Source organism: Homo sapiens, chromosome 7 (assembly GCF_000001405.40).
Source record: "Homo sapiens chromosome 7, GRCh38.p14 Primary Assembly".
NCBI classification, from domain to species: Eukaryota; Metazoa; Chordata; class Mammalia; order Primates; family Hominidae; genus Homo; species Homo sapiens.
In genome coordinates, this window is record NC_000007.14 from 916118 (window position 1) to 934374 (window position 18257).

The 18257-nt window shown below is 60.6% G+C and overlaps 1 protein-coding gene across 5 annotated transcripts in view, besides 6 other annotated features; it reads right to left on the bottom strand.

Moving 5' to 3' along the window:
* ADAP1 (ArfGAP with dual PH domains 1) overlaps nucleotides 1-18257 on the bottom strand; it is a 57508-nt gene that overhangs the window by 18218 nt on the left and 21033 nt on the right. For 3 of the 5 annotated variants that reach the window (NM_001284308.2, NM_006869.4, NM_001284309.2), the window contains exons 3-4: nucleotides 10436-10527; nucleotides 3851-3933 (exon numbers count right to left, since the gene is read on the bottom strand). In NM_001284308.2, coding sequence (NP_001271237.2) covers nucleotides 3851-3933; nucleotides 10436-10527 — 175 coding nt within the window. Of the gene's footprint in view, nucleotides 1-3850; nucleotides 3934-4666; nucleotides 4761-10435; nucleotides 10528-10938; nucleotides 11380-18257 lie in introns of those variants that run through there. The other 2 variants (NM_001284310.2, NM_001284311.2) reach the window with 2 other exon arrangements.
* Nucleotides 6783-6842: an enhancer, noted in NCBI's record as "active region_25478". NCBI's record gives its function as "activates an Ori minimal core promoter by ATAC-STARR-seq in GM12878 lymphoblastoid cells {active_cell/tissue: GM12878}" and the evidence as "EXISTENCE:reporter gene assay evidence [ECO:0000049][PMID:35858748]".
* Nucleotides 7433-7482: an enhancer, noted in NCBI's record as "active region_25479". NCBI's record gives its function as "activates an Ori minimal core promoter by ATAC-STARR-seq in GM12878 lymphoblastoid cells {active_cell/tissue: GM12878}" and the evidence as "EXISTENCE:reporter gene assay evidence [ECO:0000049][PMID:35858748]".
* Nucleotides 8632-8741: an enhancer, noted in NCBI's record as "active region_25480". NCBI's record gives its function as "activates an Ori minimal core promoter by ATAC-STARR-seq in GM12878 lymphoblastoid cells {active_cell/tissue: GM12878}" and the evidence as "EXISTENCE:reporter gene assay evidence [ECO:0000049][PMID:35858748]".
* Nucleotides 9584-9733: a silencer, noted in NCBI's record as "silent region_17827". NCBI's record gives its function as "represses an Ori minimal core promoter by ATAC-STARR-seq in GM12878 lymphoblastoid cells {active_cell/tissue: GM12878}" and the evidence as "EXISTENCE:reporter gene assay evidence [ECO:0000049][PMID:35858748]".
* Nucleotides 11918-12504: an enhancer, noted in NCBI's record as "H3K4me1 hESC enhancer chr7:967671-968257 (GRCh37/hg19 assembly coordinates)". NCBI's record gives its function as "activates a minimal SCP1, AML or CMV promoter by ChIP-STARR-seq in primed H9 embryonic stem cells {active_cell/tissue: H9 hESC(primed)}" and the evidence as "EXISTENCE:reporter gene assay evidence [ECO:0000049][PMID:30033119]".
* Nucleotides 12760-12849: an enhancer, noted in NCBI's record as "active region_25481". NCBI's record gives its function as "activates an Ori minimal core promoter by ATAC-STARR-seq in GM12878 lymphoblastoid cells {active_cell/tissue: GM12878}" and the evidence as "EXISTENCE:reporter gene assay evidence [ECO:0000049][PMID:35858748]".

An 18257-nucleotide genomic window follows, 5' to 3' on the forward strand; every position in this document is an offset into this window, starting at 1 on the left:
CAGAGGTGACGAGACAGGGACTTTTTCCAGCACTTCTGTGAGCCACACCTGACCTTTCCTGGCAGCCCGGGAGAGCAGGGATGTAAAACCCAAACTTGCCAAAGGAGGTGGCCACCAGGAGGATTGGTGCCAACCTAGAGACGCAGAACTAGGAGATAGAGGTGCTGAAACCAGGTCCCAACGACACCAGCTAAACCCCTAGATCAAGCTGTGCCCTGTTATTCCAGTCAATCCATTTCCAGTTTTGCTGACACCCAGTGAAGTTGGATTTTCCATCCTTTACAACCAGAGGGTTCTGATACAAGAACAGACACAAAACTCAGTCCTGTGGTCACGCCAGCCCAGCCCATGCCTGCCTCTGAAGTGAGGCCACGTGCCACCTTGCTACAAATTGCTAAGATGTTTCTGCCGAGGGAAACGGAGGGGCTCTGGGGTGATTCTTTGGGGGTTTAAGGCAGGAGTGGAGCGAGGGGTGTGCTGGGTGCTGAGCAGGTCCAGGTGCCCGCGTGTTCATCCCCTGACCGTTTCTTGCTCTCTCCCTCACACACACAGGGATTCTTGAGAGGAAGAAATTGCTGTCTGGGTAGACAGTAATTGAATCAGCGCCTGCACAGGCTGGCTGTGTGCCAAGTGGGGGTTGGGGGGGCAGGAGCTGCCCTGGAGGAGGGCAGAGCCGACAGGACCGCTGCATGAGACCCCAGCCTGACCTGGGGAGGTGCCTTGCTCAGGCCTGGGGCAGCCTCCCACCGGTCACCCCTGCTCACCCCACGCCGCTCCTGGGAGAAAATCCACGGTCCTGACAGAGCCCAGGGAGGTGCACGGGAGGGGGGCGCAGTGCCAGCTCTACCGGGGAGGTGCACAGGAGGGGTGCGCAGTGCCAGCTCTACCGGGGAGGTGCACGGGAGGGGGGCGCAGTGCCAGCTCTACCGGGGAGGTGCACGGGAGGGGGGCGCAGTGCCAGCTCTACCGGGGAGGTGCACGGGAGGGGGGCGCAGTGCCAGCTCTACCGGGGAGTTGCACGGGAGGGGGGCGCAGTGCCAGCTCTACCGGGGAGGTGCACGGGAGGGGGGGCGCAGTGCCAGCTCTACCGGGGAGGTGCACGGGAGGGGGGCGCAGTGCCAGCTCTACCGGGGAGTTGCACGGGAGGGGGGCGCAGTGCCAGCTCTACCGGGGAGGTGCACGGGAGGGGGGGCGCAGTGCCAGCTCTACCGGGGAGGTGCACGGGAGGGGGGCGCAGTGCCAGCTCTACCAGGGAGGGCTGGGAGGGGTTGGAGCACTGGGGGTCAGGGGCTTCTCCACTGAACCCACCTACAACACCAGGACTGTGTTCAGCCATTTCAGGGCCGCCTCTCTTTCACATATTTTGAGACAGACTTTTGCTCTGCCGCCCAGGCTGGAGTGCAGAGGCGCAATCTCGGCTCATTGCAACCTCCGCCTTCCAGGTTCAAGCGATTCTCCTGCATCAGCCTGCCGAGGAGCTGGGATTACAGGCACCTGCCACCACACCTGGCTAATTTTTGTATTTTTTACTAGAAACAGTTTTGCCACGTTGACCAGATTGGTCTCGAACTCGTGGTCTCAAGTGATCCATCCGCCCGCCTAGGCCTCCCAAGGTGCTTCTTTTATTCTTGGGGTGAGATTCACAAATACGATTCATCTTTTTTCTTGTTACAGACACACTCTCGCTCTGACGTCCAGGCTGGAGTGTAGTGGTGCAACCTTGGCTCACTGCAGCCTCCGCCTCCCAGGCTCAAGAGATCCTCCCGCCTCAGTCTCCCAAGTAGCTGGAACCACAGATGTGCGCCAACCACGCCCAGCTAATTTTGCATTTTTTGGTAGAGTCCAAAAAATGAGCAACATGGGGTTTCGCCACGTTGCTCAGGCTGGTCTTGAACTCCTGAGATCAGGAGATCTGCCCGCCTTGACCTCCATATAAAGTGCTGGGATTACAGGTGTGCGCCAACCGTGCACAGCTAATTTTTGTATTTTTAGTAGAGACGGGGTTTCACCATGTTGGCCAGGCTGGCCTCAAACTGCTGACTGCAACGGATCCACCTGCCTCCCAAACTGCTGGAACCACCGGCGTGAGCCACCGTGCCCGACCCTTTTTTGTTTCTAAGACAGAGTCTTGCTCTGTCACCCGGCCTGGAGTGCAGTGGTGCAAACACAGCTCACCGTAGCCTCAAACTCCTGCACGTAAGGGCTGCTCCTGCCTCAGCCTCCCGAGCAGCTGGGACTACAGGTGGTGCCACCATATCCAGCTAATTTTTTCTTTTTTTTAAAGGGAGGGCATCTTAGATGTTGCCCAGGCTTGTTTGACCACCAGTGATCCTCCTGCCTTGGCCTCCCAAAGTGCTAGGATTACAGGCCTGAGACACGGCTCCCGACCTCGTGTTCCGCCATTCCAGGGCAGCCTCTCTCTTACACAAGGGCAGTGGGGGCAGTGCTGGGGTTGCAGGTCCGGGCCCTGGGGGCTGCTTCCTTCCTCACGTGGCCATGCCCAGCAGCACCAAACATCCCCATCCAGCCTTTGGACCCCGCCCTGCCCGTGCTGACGTTCAGAACCAGGCCCTAGGGCTAGGCTTGCCTCCGTTTCCCTGTCGACACGGTGGAGAAAGGGGCACTCAGGAAGCTCCAGTGTGCAGACGCCCAGCTGCCCTGGGGAAAAAACCACTCAAGGCCCACAGTACCCGAGCCCACCTCCTACAGAGCAGACAGGAGGAGGAAGCCAGCCCACCCGGCTGGGGGCTCCAACTCAAAGCCCCAGGGTTTAAATGAGATGCCAGGAGAAGCAGGAGTTGGGGACTGCTGGGGGGCAGAGTTGGGGACTGCTGGGGGGCACAGCCAGAGGCTTGGCCAGCTAAGCAGCACTGGGGAGACCGAGGCTGGGGTGGGGAGACCGAGGCTGGGGTGGGCTGGCCTCCCAGGCCCCCATGGCACTGCCTCCCAGCGCCCACCTCCACAGCCCCGCCAGCCCACGAAGCTCCAAGACGCTGCCTGGATGTTTCTGCCACCCGAGGGCCCCCAAGGGCACCCAGGCAGGCCTAGGGGAGGTGGAGGCCGCAGGCCGGGGCCGCACCCTCCCCACCTGCAGCACAGTGTTGCCACACAGAGGACGCCCTCACGCCCCTCACCCGGGCCTTCAGGTCCTGCCCACACTGCTGGAGACAGGGGTCCCTGCAGGCCACCCCCGAATGGAAGTGCGTGGCCACCACCAGCAGAGGAGGGGCCAGCCACGGCCCCACGAGGTCCCCATGCACCCCACTCCTTCAGGGCTGGACTGTAGACAGCTGTGGCGACCCCAAGCCCTCAGTCACGTCACTCAGAGGGCAAAACAGGTCCGGGGACGCGGGTTCAAACTCACGAGTGTGTTACCCAGGTTAATAATGACTCTGTCCACACGAGAGGGAGGGAGGGAAGGAGAGAGAGAGGGAGAGACAGAGATAGAGAGAGGATGAGATAGACGTGAAGAGAGAGGAAGAGAGACAGAGAATGAGAGACAGACATGAAGAGAGAGTAAGAGAAACAGAGACACAGAGAGATAAAGAGAGACAGAAGGAGGGAGAGAGAGAGAGATAAAGACAGGGGAGAAAGAGACAGGTGGGGGTGGGTGGGAGAGACGGGGAGAGGGAGGGAGATGGGGGGGAAGGGGGGAGAGGGAGGGAGATGGGGGAGGGAGGGAGATGGGGGGAGGGAGGGAGATGGGGGAGGGAGGGAGATGGGGGGAGGGAGGGAAAGAGATGGGGGAGGGAGGGAAAGAGATGGGGGAGGGAGGGAAAGAGATGGGGGAGGGAGGGAGAGAGCCAGGGAGAGGTAGCCGGGAGGCCCCACCCCACCCGGGTGGCCTCACCTGCCGAGTAGGGCTCCTGCTTCTCCGGGTAGATGAACTCCTGTCGCTCGTACTTGGCCCGGATCCACTGCTCTCGAAGGAGCCTGTGGGGAGAGGAGAGACTGAGCCACTGGGCCAAGGCGGCCTCCGACCCAGCACACGCCGCTCTCTGGCCCGGACCCTGGACATCTCAAGAGGCTCATAGGGACCCCCGGCAGACTCGAGCCGCCCCTCTGGGCACAAGATCCCGGAAGAAATGCAGGGTCAGCCTCCTGCCCGGGACGCTTCTCACTCTGATATTAGTTTATTGGTTTCTTGTGCGTTCGGCCCCCGGAGCATCAGGCCTCACGTTCTGCACAAGCGTTCCCGGTGGACGGGCTGGTGCCTCCCCTCTCCTTCCCACCTTGGCCTCAGCTGATGCCCCACAGGGCTGGGGTACAGGGGTTGAGCCAGGCCCCCCCACCCCGAGTCACACGCCCCTGGGCCCTCCCCGACCCTCCCCACCTCGTTGGACCGGATCTGGGAAGTGGCCGCGGCGCCGCCCTCCACCCACCGTGCTGCCACCTTGCACCCCCCGTGCCGCCCTCCACCCGCCGTGCCGCCCTCCACGTGGTTCTGAGACACAGGACGGAGCTATCAGGGCACCCGTCGAGGTCAGGAGGCGTCCGGGGCATCAGGAGAAACTACCGGCAAATACCCAAGAATCCAGGAAGACCCGGGATGAGGAGAAGCCCCCGAGAGTAAAGCCCGGGACGAGGGCCCCCCACGGCACCCACTGAGCCCAGACATCCCTGCCCAGAGCCACCCACCACGGCCTCCCCATCCACCGTGACTCACTCGAGTGAAGCCAATACCATTGCAGAAACCACGACCCACACACAGGCCCGGCACGGCCCAGGTGCACAGGCAGCCGCCCCAGCCTTTTCCACTCCCAGGGAATTACGCGGCAAAGAACAAATAGGAACCCTGTGGCTTCCTGCTGGGCCCACGTGAACAGCCTTGGAGACTGGGCGGGAATCCTCGCCCACAGGATCTGATGGGTGATGGGTCCCAGCTGGGTCTCTGGCCCCTGGCCCCAGGTGTGTGTGTGTCCCCCACCTGCTACAACGATCACCCCAAAATTCGGTCCCCGAAAGCAACAGAAATGTATCATCTCGGTCACGGAGGCCAAACGTCTGAGATCAAGGCGTCGGCCGAGCTGGTCCCTCCAGGTGTTCTGGGGAGAATCTCCTCCAGGGTCCCTCCCACCCCTGGAAGCCGCCAGTGCCCCCACCTCGGCGCCGTCCTCACCTGGCCTTCCCTGTGGGGTTTGGGCCCACCCTACTCCAGGACAACCTCACAACCTTATCTTAACCTGAAGACATCTGCAAAGATCCTACTTTTCTTTCTTTTAGAGACAGGGTCTCACTGTGTCTCCCAGGCTGGGGCACAGTGGTGCGATCACAGCTCAACGCAGCCTCCAACACCTGCACTCAAGGATCCTCCTGCCTCGGCTTCCCGAGTAGCTGGGCTAGAGGTGTGCACCACCACGACTTGGTAATTTTTTATTTTTTGTAGAGGTGGGAGCTCACTCTGTTGCCCAGGCTGGTCTGGAACTCCTGAGGCCAATCCTCCCACCTGGGCCTCCTACAGGGCTGCGATTACAGGTGTGAGCCTCGCGTCCGGCCCCTATTTCCAGATGAGTTCACCTTCACAGGGGCGGCGGGTTAGGACTTTAACACGTCTTTTCGGGGGACACCGTGCAGCTGCCTGAGCCGCTCCGGCTGTGTGACCACGGAGGAGTTGCCCCCTAGCACCCAGCGTCCCATGACCCCAGGGTCACACAGCGGCCTCTCAGAGTCACGGGAGGACCGAAGGCCGCATGTGTGGAAGCCGGGGGCCTGTGGATGAGAGGCAGGTGCCAGGGACGGCTTTGACAACCACGCCTGCCAACGGCCCTCAGGGCGGGGCACCCACAGGGTCGGCAGCCCTGCCCTGGTGCAGAATGGGCCCCCAAGGCTCACACCCGCACACAAGGGCATCCCAGGGCCTGGCACAGAAGCTTCCAGAAGCAGCAGCAGCAGGAGGAAGCCTGGGAGTGAGCACCAGGAAGTCGGGGGCTGGACCCCATCCTGCCCAGCGGAGCCCTCCGGAAGCCCCTCATCTCCTGAAAACCAGTACTGCCCGGAGCCCTCCCGACTCCCACAGCCCTGGAGGGGCCGCACTGACACCCCACGTGGTCACGAGGAGGTGGGCTTCGGGCCACCTGGCAGCCGGGACGGAGAGCCACCAGGAAAGCTCCAGCCACACCTCAGCCCACGCCCCAGGAAGTGCCCCAAGTTCCAGGGCTCAGGGGAGCCAGGCTTCAAGGACCCCTAGGCCACCCCTTCAAGGCCAGGGCCTCAGGGTCAGGTGGGTCCCCTCAACGCAGAGCAAAATGTGAGCTGGGGGCAGGGGGCCGGGCAGGTGCTCAGGGCGACTGCCTCCCCTAGGTGTGGACTCACAGGGGAAGACGCTCTGAGCCCCAGAAGCCACTTCCCCACAGGGCTCCCCCAGCCCAAGATGCCATGGGAGACCCCTCCCCGCTTTCCCCAGGACGGGTCCAGTGGCCACTGTGACCCCCATAGCGGGTGCTGTTCACACAGCTGGCACGTCCATCCCTGAGGGTCCACTCCTGAGTGTGCCTTCTGCCCGAGTTCTGCCAGTTTCCACCGCATGGAGTTCAGGACACCATCAACACCCTTCCTGGAGGCTTTGCCTCTTGCGAAAGTGACCCCCCAGGGCCCCCGGCTTTGCTTCTACGTGGTGGACCAGTGGCTCACCCAGATGGGTTTTTTCCCTTTTTATTACAGGAAAATAGCCCGGGTGGTGTTCACGCCCCCGCCCACACCCCCGCCCACGCACCTGCCTCTCAGCAACACCCCCACCCCCGCCACCCCCGCCCCCATTGTCTATCCTGGGTGTTTCCGAGGCTGCTACCACCTGAACCGCGACCCCATCCTACTGGGAGCCCTGACCCCCGGGCCTGAGTGTGCCTGTATTTGGAAATACCGTGGTTGCAGATTAGTTAAGATGAGGCCACAGGAGCAGGGTGGCCCCCAATCCAACGTGCCCGGTGTCCTTAGGAAGGGGAATTAGGACACAGACAGGTACGCAGGGCCCACGATGTGAGGAAGCACCCCGGAGAGGCCTCGGGAGAAGCAGCCTTGAGCCTCCAGCCTCCAGAGCTGGAAGAAAGTAGATTTCTGTTGCTCTGGGCCGCCGGGCATGTGGTGCTGTGTTCCAGGAGCCCCAGACATGCATGCAGAGCCCTGTCCAGCCCGGACACCTGCTCCACGGGGGGCTTGCTGGGGCTGAGGGCTCCAGGGCTTCGCTGGGATGGGCAGAGAGGAGCCCTCCAGCCGGTGCTGCCAGCAGCCAAGGGCTCCTCCCACAGCTTCCCTCACTCGCCCTGATCACCCCTCACCACACAGGAAGCAGGGAGGGGCCGGTTTCCACCCAGAAGTAAAACCAAGCAGAGCGGCCGCACGACTTTCTTTCCCCGACGTCAAGATAGAAACTGGAGAGCTCTGAGGGTGACACAGGAAGAGACGGGTCCCGGCCTCTGAGTCACAGGCTGGTGCTGAAGATAAAGAGGGCACACGAGACCCTCTGCCCTCCCCTGCGGGTGCAGCCTCCCCTCTTATAGCTGGGCAAACTGAGGCCCTGGGCCTCTGCTTAGCTGGAGGTGGGCACGGTGCTCGACCTGCCTGGAGGGACCCCAGTGTGTGCCGGGAGGCCGCAGGGCATGGCGTGGGGGGCCTTCCAGGACCCTGCTCCGGACGCTGCCCGCCACTCTTAGCTCCTGCGAAGACGCCACCCGGACATCTGTGCAGCAGAGCTTTCCCCTGAAGACCTTCAACTCAGACCCGGGCTTGTCCAGGCTGCACGGAGGCCGTGGGCACCAGCGCTGCTGGGGCTGGGAGAATCTTGGTGGGGGCAGACGTGGGAGGAAGGTGGACGAGTCCCCTGCCCACCTCGCCAGGCTGGACGTTTGGGCCCCACGAGCCACAGAGCCGGACCACAAAATGGCAGGATGTAGGCACCCCCCGCCCTCCAGGTTACACTGCAGGTCCACGCTGCACCCCCCGCCCTCCGGGTTACACTGCAGGTCCACGCTGCACCCCCCGCCCTCCGGGTTACACTGCAGGTCCACGCTGCACCCCCCGCCCTCCGGGTTACACTGCAGGTCCACGCTGCACCCCCCGCCCTCCAGGTTACACAGCAGTTCACGCTGCACCCCCCGCCCTCCAGGTTACACAGCAGGTCCATGCTGCACCCCCTCCCCGCCCTCCAGGTCCACACTGCACCCCCTGCCCTCCAGGTTACACAGCGGGTCCACGCTGCACCCCTCCCCCACCCTCGAGGTCCACGCTGCACCCCCCACCCTCCGGGTTACACTGCAGGTCCACGCTGCACCCCCCGCCCTCCGGGTTACACTGCAGGTCCACGCTGCACCCCCCGCCCTCCGGGTTACACTGCAGGTCCACGCTGCACCCCCCACCCTCCAGGTTACACAGCAGGTCCACGCTGCACCCCCCGCCCTCCAGATTACACAGCAGGTCCACACTGCACCCCCTGCCCTCCAGGTCCACGCTGCACCCCCCGCCCTCCAAGTTATACTGCAGGTCCACACTGCACCCCTGCCATGCCCCAGCATCCACGGCTCATACAGGGATTCACACCCCACCCCAGATAGTGGGTGTCAGCCCTGGGAGTCTCCTCACCCAGGACCCAACAGCAGCAGCCCCTGAGTCCACGAGCACCCCCAGCCCCCCGCACCCATGTCAGCCCCCGGTCCCGACTCAGAACAGCCAGGGAGTGGGAGGAACTTGGAGACAGTGACCCAGGCCACAGAGCAGCTGGGGGCGGGGTGATAAAATAATGTCTTAAAAATAGCTGTGCTGGGGCTCCATGATTCATACCGAGAGCCCGGGGCACGGCCAGGGCAGGGTTCCCCTGTGAGGGCTCAGGGGGAGACAGCAGCTGGCACCTGGGGCCTCAGAATGAGAGTACGGGGGGCCAGGGCGCCAGGCCTGCCCGGGTGGGAAGGGAGAGGTGCATGCACGGGGCTGAGTCGCCAGCCTCGGCCTTCTCAGTGGCGATGTGGGGATTGCAGCTGGACCTGTCTCCAGGCTCACGGGAGGCTCATCAAGAAAACGCCTGCCAAGCACCTGGACGGGGGCCTCGTGACCCCAATAACAAATCAACATGCAGCCAAAGAAACTGAGTCGCTCGTGGCCTGAACACACCTCCAGCCCCTGCTCCCCGAAGACCCCGGGAGGGCCGGTTCATGCTGCAATCCCAGCACTTTGGGAGGCTGAGGCAGGAGGATCGCTTGAGCCCAGGAATTTGCAACCAGCCTGGGCAATGTAGGGAGACCCCGTCTCTATATTTAAAAAAAAAAAAAAAAAAAAAAGGCCCAGGATGGTGTGTAGGGTTGCAGCCGGGAAGTCCGTCCTTCCTCCCCTCTCCCTCCTCCCTCTTCCCTCCGGCCTCCCCTCCACCCTATCCCCCAACCCCCACCCGCCTTCCAGGGGCCTTCGGATCCAGTGAGGACCCCTGATCCCACTGCCCCTTCATGGAGCTCACTGCAGGGGGCACAGACCCCAAACAGGGCCCCGGATGCTGGGGAAGACCCCCTGGTCACTGCAGTCCCCACCAGCAGCTCCTGGGCAGGCAGAGCCCAGGCTGTCTCAGCCCCCGAGTCAGGGCAGAGCCAGCAACGGCACGTGGGCCCCTCATGGGCTGGGAGGCCAGGCGCCCGCCGCTTTCCTGCGGCACTGTTGGCTCACACCCAAACCCTGCACCCAGCTCGTGCTCGGGGTATCTCTGCGGGGTGGGCCCTCTGCTGAGTGGGTTCACGGAGTGAGTCAACGGAGGGCGGTGCCCAGTGAGGCTGGGATTGAACCAGGGCAGGAAGCATGGGGGGCCGGGAGGGCACCCAGTGGGCCAACACGTCTTTCCCCTGTGACAGGTACGAGGGGGTCGGTGCGAACAGTCAGGCTGGGCCCTGTGTGGTTGTCACCTCTCATTCCCACCGTCCGGGCAGATGGGGAGACTGAGGCTTGGAGGGGCGGGTGTTGGTGAAGGCGGCTGATGTGATACCGAGCAGGCCTCATTCCCTCTCTCCACAACCTCCCGATCCCAGGATGCTCAGAGGACTGGGTCTCAGGCTTCCCCAACCGGCCACCGGTACCCACGTCCGCTCCCGCCCTGAGGAGCCAGGGCAGGCCCCGAAACAACAGCCGCCCCTCCCGTTCCCCTCCCAGACCGCCAGGAGCACCTGGGAGGGCCCCTCAGATCCACCCGAGACCCCCAAGGCCTCAGCGAACCTGGGTGGGCTGTAGCTACTGATGCACAATGACCTTCCCAGCCCCACCCCAGCGCCCCCCGCCCCAGAACCAAAGCCCGGTGGTGGCCAGCAGACACAGGCGGCACCTCGGGGTCTGGGGGACGCAGCTGCGGCTGGCTTCTCCCCGACCCTGTGGGCGGCACCCAACTCCCCACCCTGCCGGGTCCTCCCGGGGCCATCTCGGAGCCACCCAGCACTTGACCATGGCCCTGACAAGGCCCCTTTGTACTCACTGGCAGTCGGAGGGCGTGGGCCGGTAGTAGAAGGAGGGTACTTTGGACTCAAACCTGGCTCTCGCGGCGTCGTTCCCGTGGGAGGCCATGAACTGCAAGAGAGGAGGGGCCGGGTCAGAGGCCTGGGGTCCCAGGGGCAGCCTAGGAGGTGCCAGCTGCCCTTGGGGCCGTCACCACAGTGACCCGCAGACCCAAGGCTCTGAGGGCTCCACCAGCACCAGGACGGGAACGCCACCTCCTCCTGCCCCAGGGACACCATTTCTGAGTGATCGACCCTCCCCTGGGACAGGGAAGGAGCCAGCGTCCCTAACGACGGGGTCCCGGCAAAGGGGGCCCAGGGGCCAGGCCCCTTTTGAGGATGGGTCTGAGGTTTGCCCCACCGTTTCAACCCCCAAGTCCACCCACACCGGGTGTCCCGTGGGAGAGAGCTGGCTGCATCCTGTGACCCCCATCTCTGCCCCAGAGAGCGAGGGCTTCCTCGTTCACCCAGCTCCCCAGCTCACATTTAGCAAAGAGCCAACAGGCGCCAGACACGGGGGCCTGGAGATGGGCTGGTGAGCGAGAGACCCAGATGTGGCTAGGACAGAGTCTCTGAGGGGACTCTGCAGGGACACACTGCAGGGACCCAGAACATGTTTACGAAACAGGCTGAGGGAGAAGGAAACGGCGCCGTGAAGGAGGGGAGGTGCTGCAGGAGGCTGTCGTTCCAGGAGGCTCGTGCTCCAGGAGGCTGTCACGCACACTGTGCTCCTGGCAGGCGCAAAGGCCCTGAGGGTGGACGCTGGCAATGACCCTGCCGCCAGCCAGGTATGGTGAGCCTTGAGCAGCAGGAGGGGCCGCCACACCCCACGCCAGCCCCGAGGGCATGGGAGAGGTTCTGCTTGCTATGCTGTAAGCCCCCAAGGCAGCTGCTGTTTGCACCTTCAAGCTCCTGAACACCACTCGCCTGAGGCCGCAGCCAGGCCCAGCCAGACTGAAGTCCCCTGACATCACCCTGCTCCGAGGATCACATGGCAGTAAACAGGGAGGGCCCAGAAGAGCAGCTGGAGAAATCACAAGCAACAAGAGGCTGGCACCAATTTAAAATTCGAAAACCAATGGCTTTTCCATAGAAAACTCAAATACAAGGAGAGATCCTGTCACCAACAGCAACAGGACAAATCACCTGAGTGGCTGGATGAGAAATGTCCCAGGTCTCCAAGGGAAAACTGGCGTGTGCTCCCGAGGACGAGAGCCTCGACCCGAGACACAGGGAGGTAGAAAAATGTCTCCTTATGGGAGTCTACATGTTTTTTATAATAATTGCCAAAAAACAGCAACAGAATTTATTATATTTTTTTACCTAGAAATGGTTCTAAAGTTGAAAAAATTAACAAGGGCCAGCCGGGGACAGGGGCTCACATCTGTAGTCCCAGCACTTTGGGAAGCTGAGGTGGGAGGACCCCTTGAGCCCAGGAGTTCAAGACCAGCCTGGGCAACATAGTGAGACCCTGTCTCTCAAAAAAAAAAAAAAAAAAATTAGCCAGGTGTGATGGCGCACACCTGTAGTCCCAGCTACTAGGGAGGCCGAGGTGGGAAGATGGCCTCAACCTGGGAGTTTGAGGTCGCAGTGGGCTATGGTCGCACCACTGAACTCCAGCCTGGGCGGCAGAACAAGACCATGTCTCCACTGGACACAGCGGCTCACACCTGTAATCCCAGCACTTTGGGAGGCCGAGGCGGGAGGATCCCTTGAGCCCAAGAGGTCAAGGCTATGAGCTATGGTTACACCACTGCACTCCAGCTTGGGAAAAAGAGCAAGACCCTATCTCTGCAAAAAAAGGAAGGTAAAAATAAAAAATAAATAAAAATGGGTAAGGGTTTTTAAAATTACTTTTACATGCATATGTATACTTTTAATTTGTTTTAATGGAGGTGGGGTTCCACTCTGTTGCCCGGGCTGGTCTCAAACTCCTGGGCTCAAGCCATCGTCCCACCTCGGCCTAAAAATGGGGAAGGATTTGATCGGACATTTCTCCAAAGAAGATGCACAAATGGCCACTCGGCCACGCAAAGGCACTCAACACTGTTAGCTGTCAGGGGAACGCAGATGAAAACCTCAATGAGCTACCACCTCTCCCCACTAGGATGGCAAGGTCAAAGTGGCACAGGGGAGTGAGCTGGAGAGAATGTGGAGTGATCAGAGCCCCCGCACGCTGCTGGTGGGAACCTCCGGCTCTGGTGACTAACAGTCTGGCAGTTCCTCAAAACGGTAAACACAGAGTTACCATAGAGTCCAGCGATTCCTCTGCACCGTAAGAGACGCGAAGACGCAGAGACATGCACATGAGTGTTCACAGCACATTCTTCGTGACAGCTGAGAACGGGAACAAGCCCCAGCTCCGTGAACGGAACCACAGATAAACTAAATGTGATCGAGCCACACCATGGAGGGTTCCTCGGCCATAAAGAGGAATGCCGGCCGGGCGCGGGGGCTCACGCCTGTCATCCCAGCACTTCAGGAGGCAGAGGTGGGCAGATCACGAGGTCAGGAGTTCAAGACCAGCCTGGGCAACACGGTGAGACCCCGTCTCTACTGAAAATACAAAAATTAGCCGGGCGTGGTGGTGCACGCCCGTAATCCCAGCTACTCGGGAGGCTGAGGCAGGAGAATCGCTTGAACCCGGGAGGCAGAGGTTGCAGTGAGCAGAGATCGTGCCACAGCACTCCAGCGTGGCTGACAGAGCGAGACTCCATCTCAAAAAAAAAAAAAAAAGAGCAACACAATTCTGACACACGCTACAACCCAGGCGATCCTTGGACACACGGTGCCCATGGAGGAAACCAGACACAAAACACCACGAATCGGCCGCACGTGGTGGCTCACACCTGTGATCCCAGCACTTTGGGAGGCTGAGGTGGGAGGATCGCTTGAGCCTGGGAGTTCGGGACCAGCTTGAGCAACATAGTGACACCCTGTCTCAAAAAAAAAAAAAAAAAAAAACAAGACCACGTATTGCATGATTCCATCTGTTTGAAATGTTCAGAACAAGCAAATCCACAGAGACACAAAGCAGCTCTGTCTACATTCAGTAACGGCTGGGGCGGTGGTGATGGGAGGGGTGGTGAGTACCGGCTGTGTTGGGACGTTAAAATGTCCTGAAGTTAGACAGTGGTGATGGTCGTGCAGCCCTGTGGCTTCACTAAAACTACTGAACTGTACGCTTTACGGGAGTGAATTGTATGTGGATTATACCTCAACAAAGCTGTTATTAAAAAATAACCTTCAGGGTTGGGTGTGGTGGCTGAAGCCTGTAATCCCAGCGCTTGGGAGACTGAGGCGGGAGGATCACTTGAGGCCAGGAGTTCAAGACCAGCCTGGGCAACATAGTGAGACCCCCGTCTCTACAAAAAATACAAAAATTAGCCAGGCGTGGTGGTGCACGTCTGTAGTTCCATCTACTCAGGAGGCTGAGGTGAGAGGATCGTTTGAGCCCAGGAGCTTGAGGCTGCACTGAGCTGTGATTGAGCCACTGCCCTCCAGCCTGGGTGACAGAGCAAGACTGTCTCAAAAAAAAAAAAAAAAAAAAAAAAAACCCTCAGGCAGAGAAGGCCTATTTATGTATGCTATAGACCCTAAAACCACAAAATAAAACGCTGACCACTTTGACTATGTCGAAGTAAAAATTTCCACGGCAAAAACCACCATGAGCAAATTCGAAAGACAACCTAGAAAAAAATGTTTTTGGTATCTCAGATTAATTTCTCTAACATACCAGCAACCCCTAGAAGATGAAAACAGCTAACATTGCAGCAGAAAGGCAGGCAAAGGTGTGAAGAGAGTTCACAGGCAAGAAAACACAGGGCCGGGCGCGGTGGCTCACACCTGTAATCCCAGCACTTTGGGAGGCCAAGGCGGGCGGATCACGAGGTCAGGAGTTTGAGACCAGCCTGGCCAACATAGCAAGACCCCATCACTACAAAATTTTTTTTTTTAATTAGCCAGGGCTGGCGCGGTGGCTCACGTCTGTAATCCCAGAACTTTGGGAGGCCGAGGGGGATGGATCACCTGAGGCCAAGAGTTCAAGGCCAGCCTGGCCAACATGGCAAAACCCCGTCTCTATTAAAAATACAAAAATTAGCTGGGCATGGTGGCACACACCTGTGATCCCAGCTACTCGGGAGGCTGAAGCAGGAGAATCGCTTGAATGTGGGAGGTGGAGGTTGCAGTGAGGTGAGATCACACCACTGTACTCCAGCCTGGGAGACAGTGAGACTGTCTCTAAAAAAAAAAAAGTAGCCAGGCACGGTGGTGTATGCCTGTGGTCCTAGCTACTCCTTGGGAGGCTGAGGCAAGAGGATCACTTGAGCCTGAAAGTTCAAGGCTTTAGTGAGCTATGATAGTGCCACTGCATTCCAGCCTGGGCGACAGAGTCAGACTGTGTCTCAAAAAAAAAAAAAAAGAGAAAGGAAGGAAGGAAGGAGGGTAGGGAGGGACGGAGGGACTGAGGGAGGGAGGGAGGGAAGAAAGGAAGGCAGGAGGGAAGGAAGGACGGAAGGAAGGACGGAGGGACGGAGAGACAGAGGGAGGGACGGAAGAAAGGAAGACAGGAGGGAAGGAAGGAGGGAGGGAGGGAGCGAGGCCCACACAGACCCCTGGCTGCCTGGCCAGGGTGGGGACGGTGCTCAAAGGTGGGAGACAGGGAAGGAGACAGCTCCCTTCTGTGACTGTCCTTGGAAACTGCTGAATGTGTCACTAAATTGTCGAAATACATTAAATAAGGTAGAGACGACCCACGTGTCCATCAGAGGGTGAATGAATAAAGCAAACGTGTTCCATCCACACAAGGCATGTTCTCCGGCCTTGAAAGGAACGAAGCTGTCACACAGGCTGCAGCGTGATGGGCCTCGGGGACCTGGCACCGCGGGAAAGGAGTCGGACGCCGAAGCTCACACGCCGTGCGATCCCGTTTTTAAAAGTCCAGAACCCACAAATCTACACAGAGAGAAAGTGGATTTGCAGCTGCTTTGGGCTGGGCGGGGGTAAGAGCCAAAAGGCACGGACTTCCTTTCTGGGGTGATGAAAATGTCCTAATATTGGCTTCAGCGAAGGTTGCACAACTCTGAATTTACTAAAAAACCTTCAACTGTGCCCTTTACACGGTGAAATGTATGGCTGTGAACGGCATCTCTAGGAAGCAGTTGTTTTAAAAGGTATTATCAAGGAATAGAAAGTAGGGAGAAAAAAAAAAAAAAACATAAAATGTGAAGAAAAGGAAAGAAGAGAAGAATCTTTGGTTCCTGGCCCTTCAACCTCGGTCCGGTCCTCAGCAACGGCCACCTCAGGCCCGTTTCTCCCTTAGGGGTGGGAGCAGGCTTAGCCCCCGGATGTCCCCGCTGACCACCAGCCCAGGAATGGCCAAGGGGCCTGAGTGCAGGGAGCCAGGGGGGGCCCAGTGCAGCTCCCGCCCCACAGAGTCCCCAGCAAGAAGCCGGGCTGAGACCCAGCCCTGCCTGGGGGCCGGGGTGCAGGTGCTCTCAGGAGACAAGCCCCCAGGCCTGCCTGAGATTCATCTTTGGTTTTTATCGCACCAGTGAACGTGCAGACAACAGAATGGGGATGGAATCTCCTTGTGGCCCCCAGCTCAGTGCTCTCCCAAAGGCCCCATCGCACCAGACCTCTGCGGCAGGAATCAGGGGTTTCTTGGTAATACCCACGGTGGGCCCTCCCCAGCCTTCCTCTCCAGCCTTCCTCTCCGGCCATCACCCCAGGCAGATCAGGACAGCACCAAGTTGGCCCCTGTCCTCTCCCGCTGATTACATTTAGGGTTTTTCCAACAACAGTGAACGCCCCACCCCTGGGCCCTTGCCCCGTTTGCCCTGGAATTATGGGGACAATAGCCACGTCTTCTCCCCGAGCCAAGGAGTCTGTGCCCCTGGAGGCCCTCCAGGGACTCAGGGCTGTTTCCTCCAGGAGTGATGGCAGAGCAACTTGGAGACGGGACACCCGTCCCATCATCTTTCTGACATTGGTCCCCTGTTGTCCGGGGAGGGGGATGGTCCAGGGGCCACCCTGCCCATTTTTTAGGGAAGGAAACGGAGGCTCAGACAAGCCCACAGCCTGGCGAAGGGATGGATGTCACATCCCAGTGTCCCCCCCTGGGTCAGTGAAGGTGGGTCGAAGGGCGAAGGGACGGATATCACATCCCAGTGTCCCCCACCCAGGTCAGTGAAGGTGGGTCGAAGGCGGTGAGCCCAAGGTGGGCCGGGGTCCTGAGGGGATTCGCAGGGACGCCCTCAACTCAGGGTGTGGGGGATCACGGCATTAAGTGCAGAAGCTGATTTGGGGTCGCCCTGGGTGGGTCAGGGACTCTGCTGTCCTTGGGTCTTTTTCTGTCTCCCAGGCTGGAGCACAAAGGTGCAATCACAACTCACTGCAGCCTCGAATTCCTTGGCTCAGCCAGGCATGGTGGCTCACGCCTGTCATCCCAGCACTTCGGGAGGCTGAGGTGGGTGGATCACCTGCGGTCAGGAGTTCAAGACCAGCCTTGCCAACATGGTGAAACCCTTCTCTACTAAAAATACGAAAATTAGCCGGGCGTGGTGGCGTGCACCTGCAATCCCAGCCACTCGGGAGGCTGAGGCAGGAGAATTGCTTGAGCCCGGGAGGTGGAGCTTGCAGTGAGCCGAGATCATGCTACTGCACTCCAGCCTGGGCGACGAAGCCAGACTCCGTCTCAAAAAAAAAAAAGAATTCCTGGGCTCAAACAATCCTCCTGCCTCAGCCTCCTGAGTGGCTGGGATTACAGGCACCACCCCCACACCTGGTCGAGGCACTGGGATCCCAGCTGTGATTTCTAACAAGCCTCCAGGTGTGACCCATGCACCAAGGCTGCCTGTTAGAAGCAAATGAGCTACTCCCAACCAGGGGCAGGGGTCAGTGGTGCTGGAGAGCCGGGGGCCGGGGTCAGTGGTGCTGGAGAGCCGGGGGCCGGGGGCCGGGGTCAGTGGTGCTGGAGAGCCGGGGGCCGGGGTCAGTGGTGGTGCAGAGCCGGGGACCGGGGTCAGTGGTGCTGGAGAGCCGGGGACCGGGGTCAGTGGTGCTGGAGAGCCGGGGGCCGGGGTCAGTGGTGCTGGAGAGCCGGGGGCCGGGGTCAGTGGTGCTGGAGAGCCGGGGGCCGGGGTCAGTGGTGGTGCAGAGCCGGGGACCGGGGTCAGTGGTGCTGGAGAGCCGGGGACCGGGGTCAGTGGTGCTGGAGAGCCGGGGGCCGGGGTCAGTGGTGGTGCAGAGCCGGGGACCGGGGTCAGTGGTGGTGCAGAGCCGGGGACCGGGGTCAGTGGTGCTGGAGAGCCGGGGACCGGGGTCAGTGGTGCTGGAGAGCCGGGGGCCGGGGTCAGTGGTGGTGCAGAGCCGGGGACCGGGGTCAGTGGTGCTGGAGAGCCGGGGGCCGGGGTCAGTGGTGCTGGAGAGCCGGGGGCCGGGGTCAGTGGTGGTGCAGAGCCGGGGACCGGGGTCAGTGGTGCTGGAGAGCCGGGGACTGGGGTCAGTGGTGCTGGAGAGCCGGGAGCCGGGGTCAGTGGTGCTGGAGAGCCGGGGGCCGGGGTCAGTGGTGGTGCAGAGCCGGGGACCGGGGTCAGTGGTGCTGGAGAGCCGGGGGCCGGGGTCAGTGGTGCTGGAGAGCCGGGGGCCGGGGTCAGTGGTGGTGCAGAGCCGGGGACCGGGGTCAGTGGTGCTGGAGAGCCGGGGACTGGGGTCAGTGGTGCTGGAGAGCCGGGAGCCGGGGTCAGTGGTGCTGGAGAACCAGGGGCTGGGATCAGTGGTCCTGGAGAGGGGGTGCCAGAG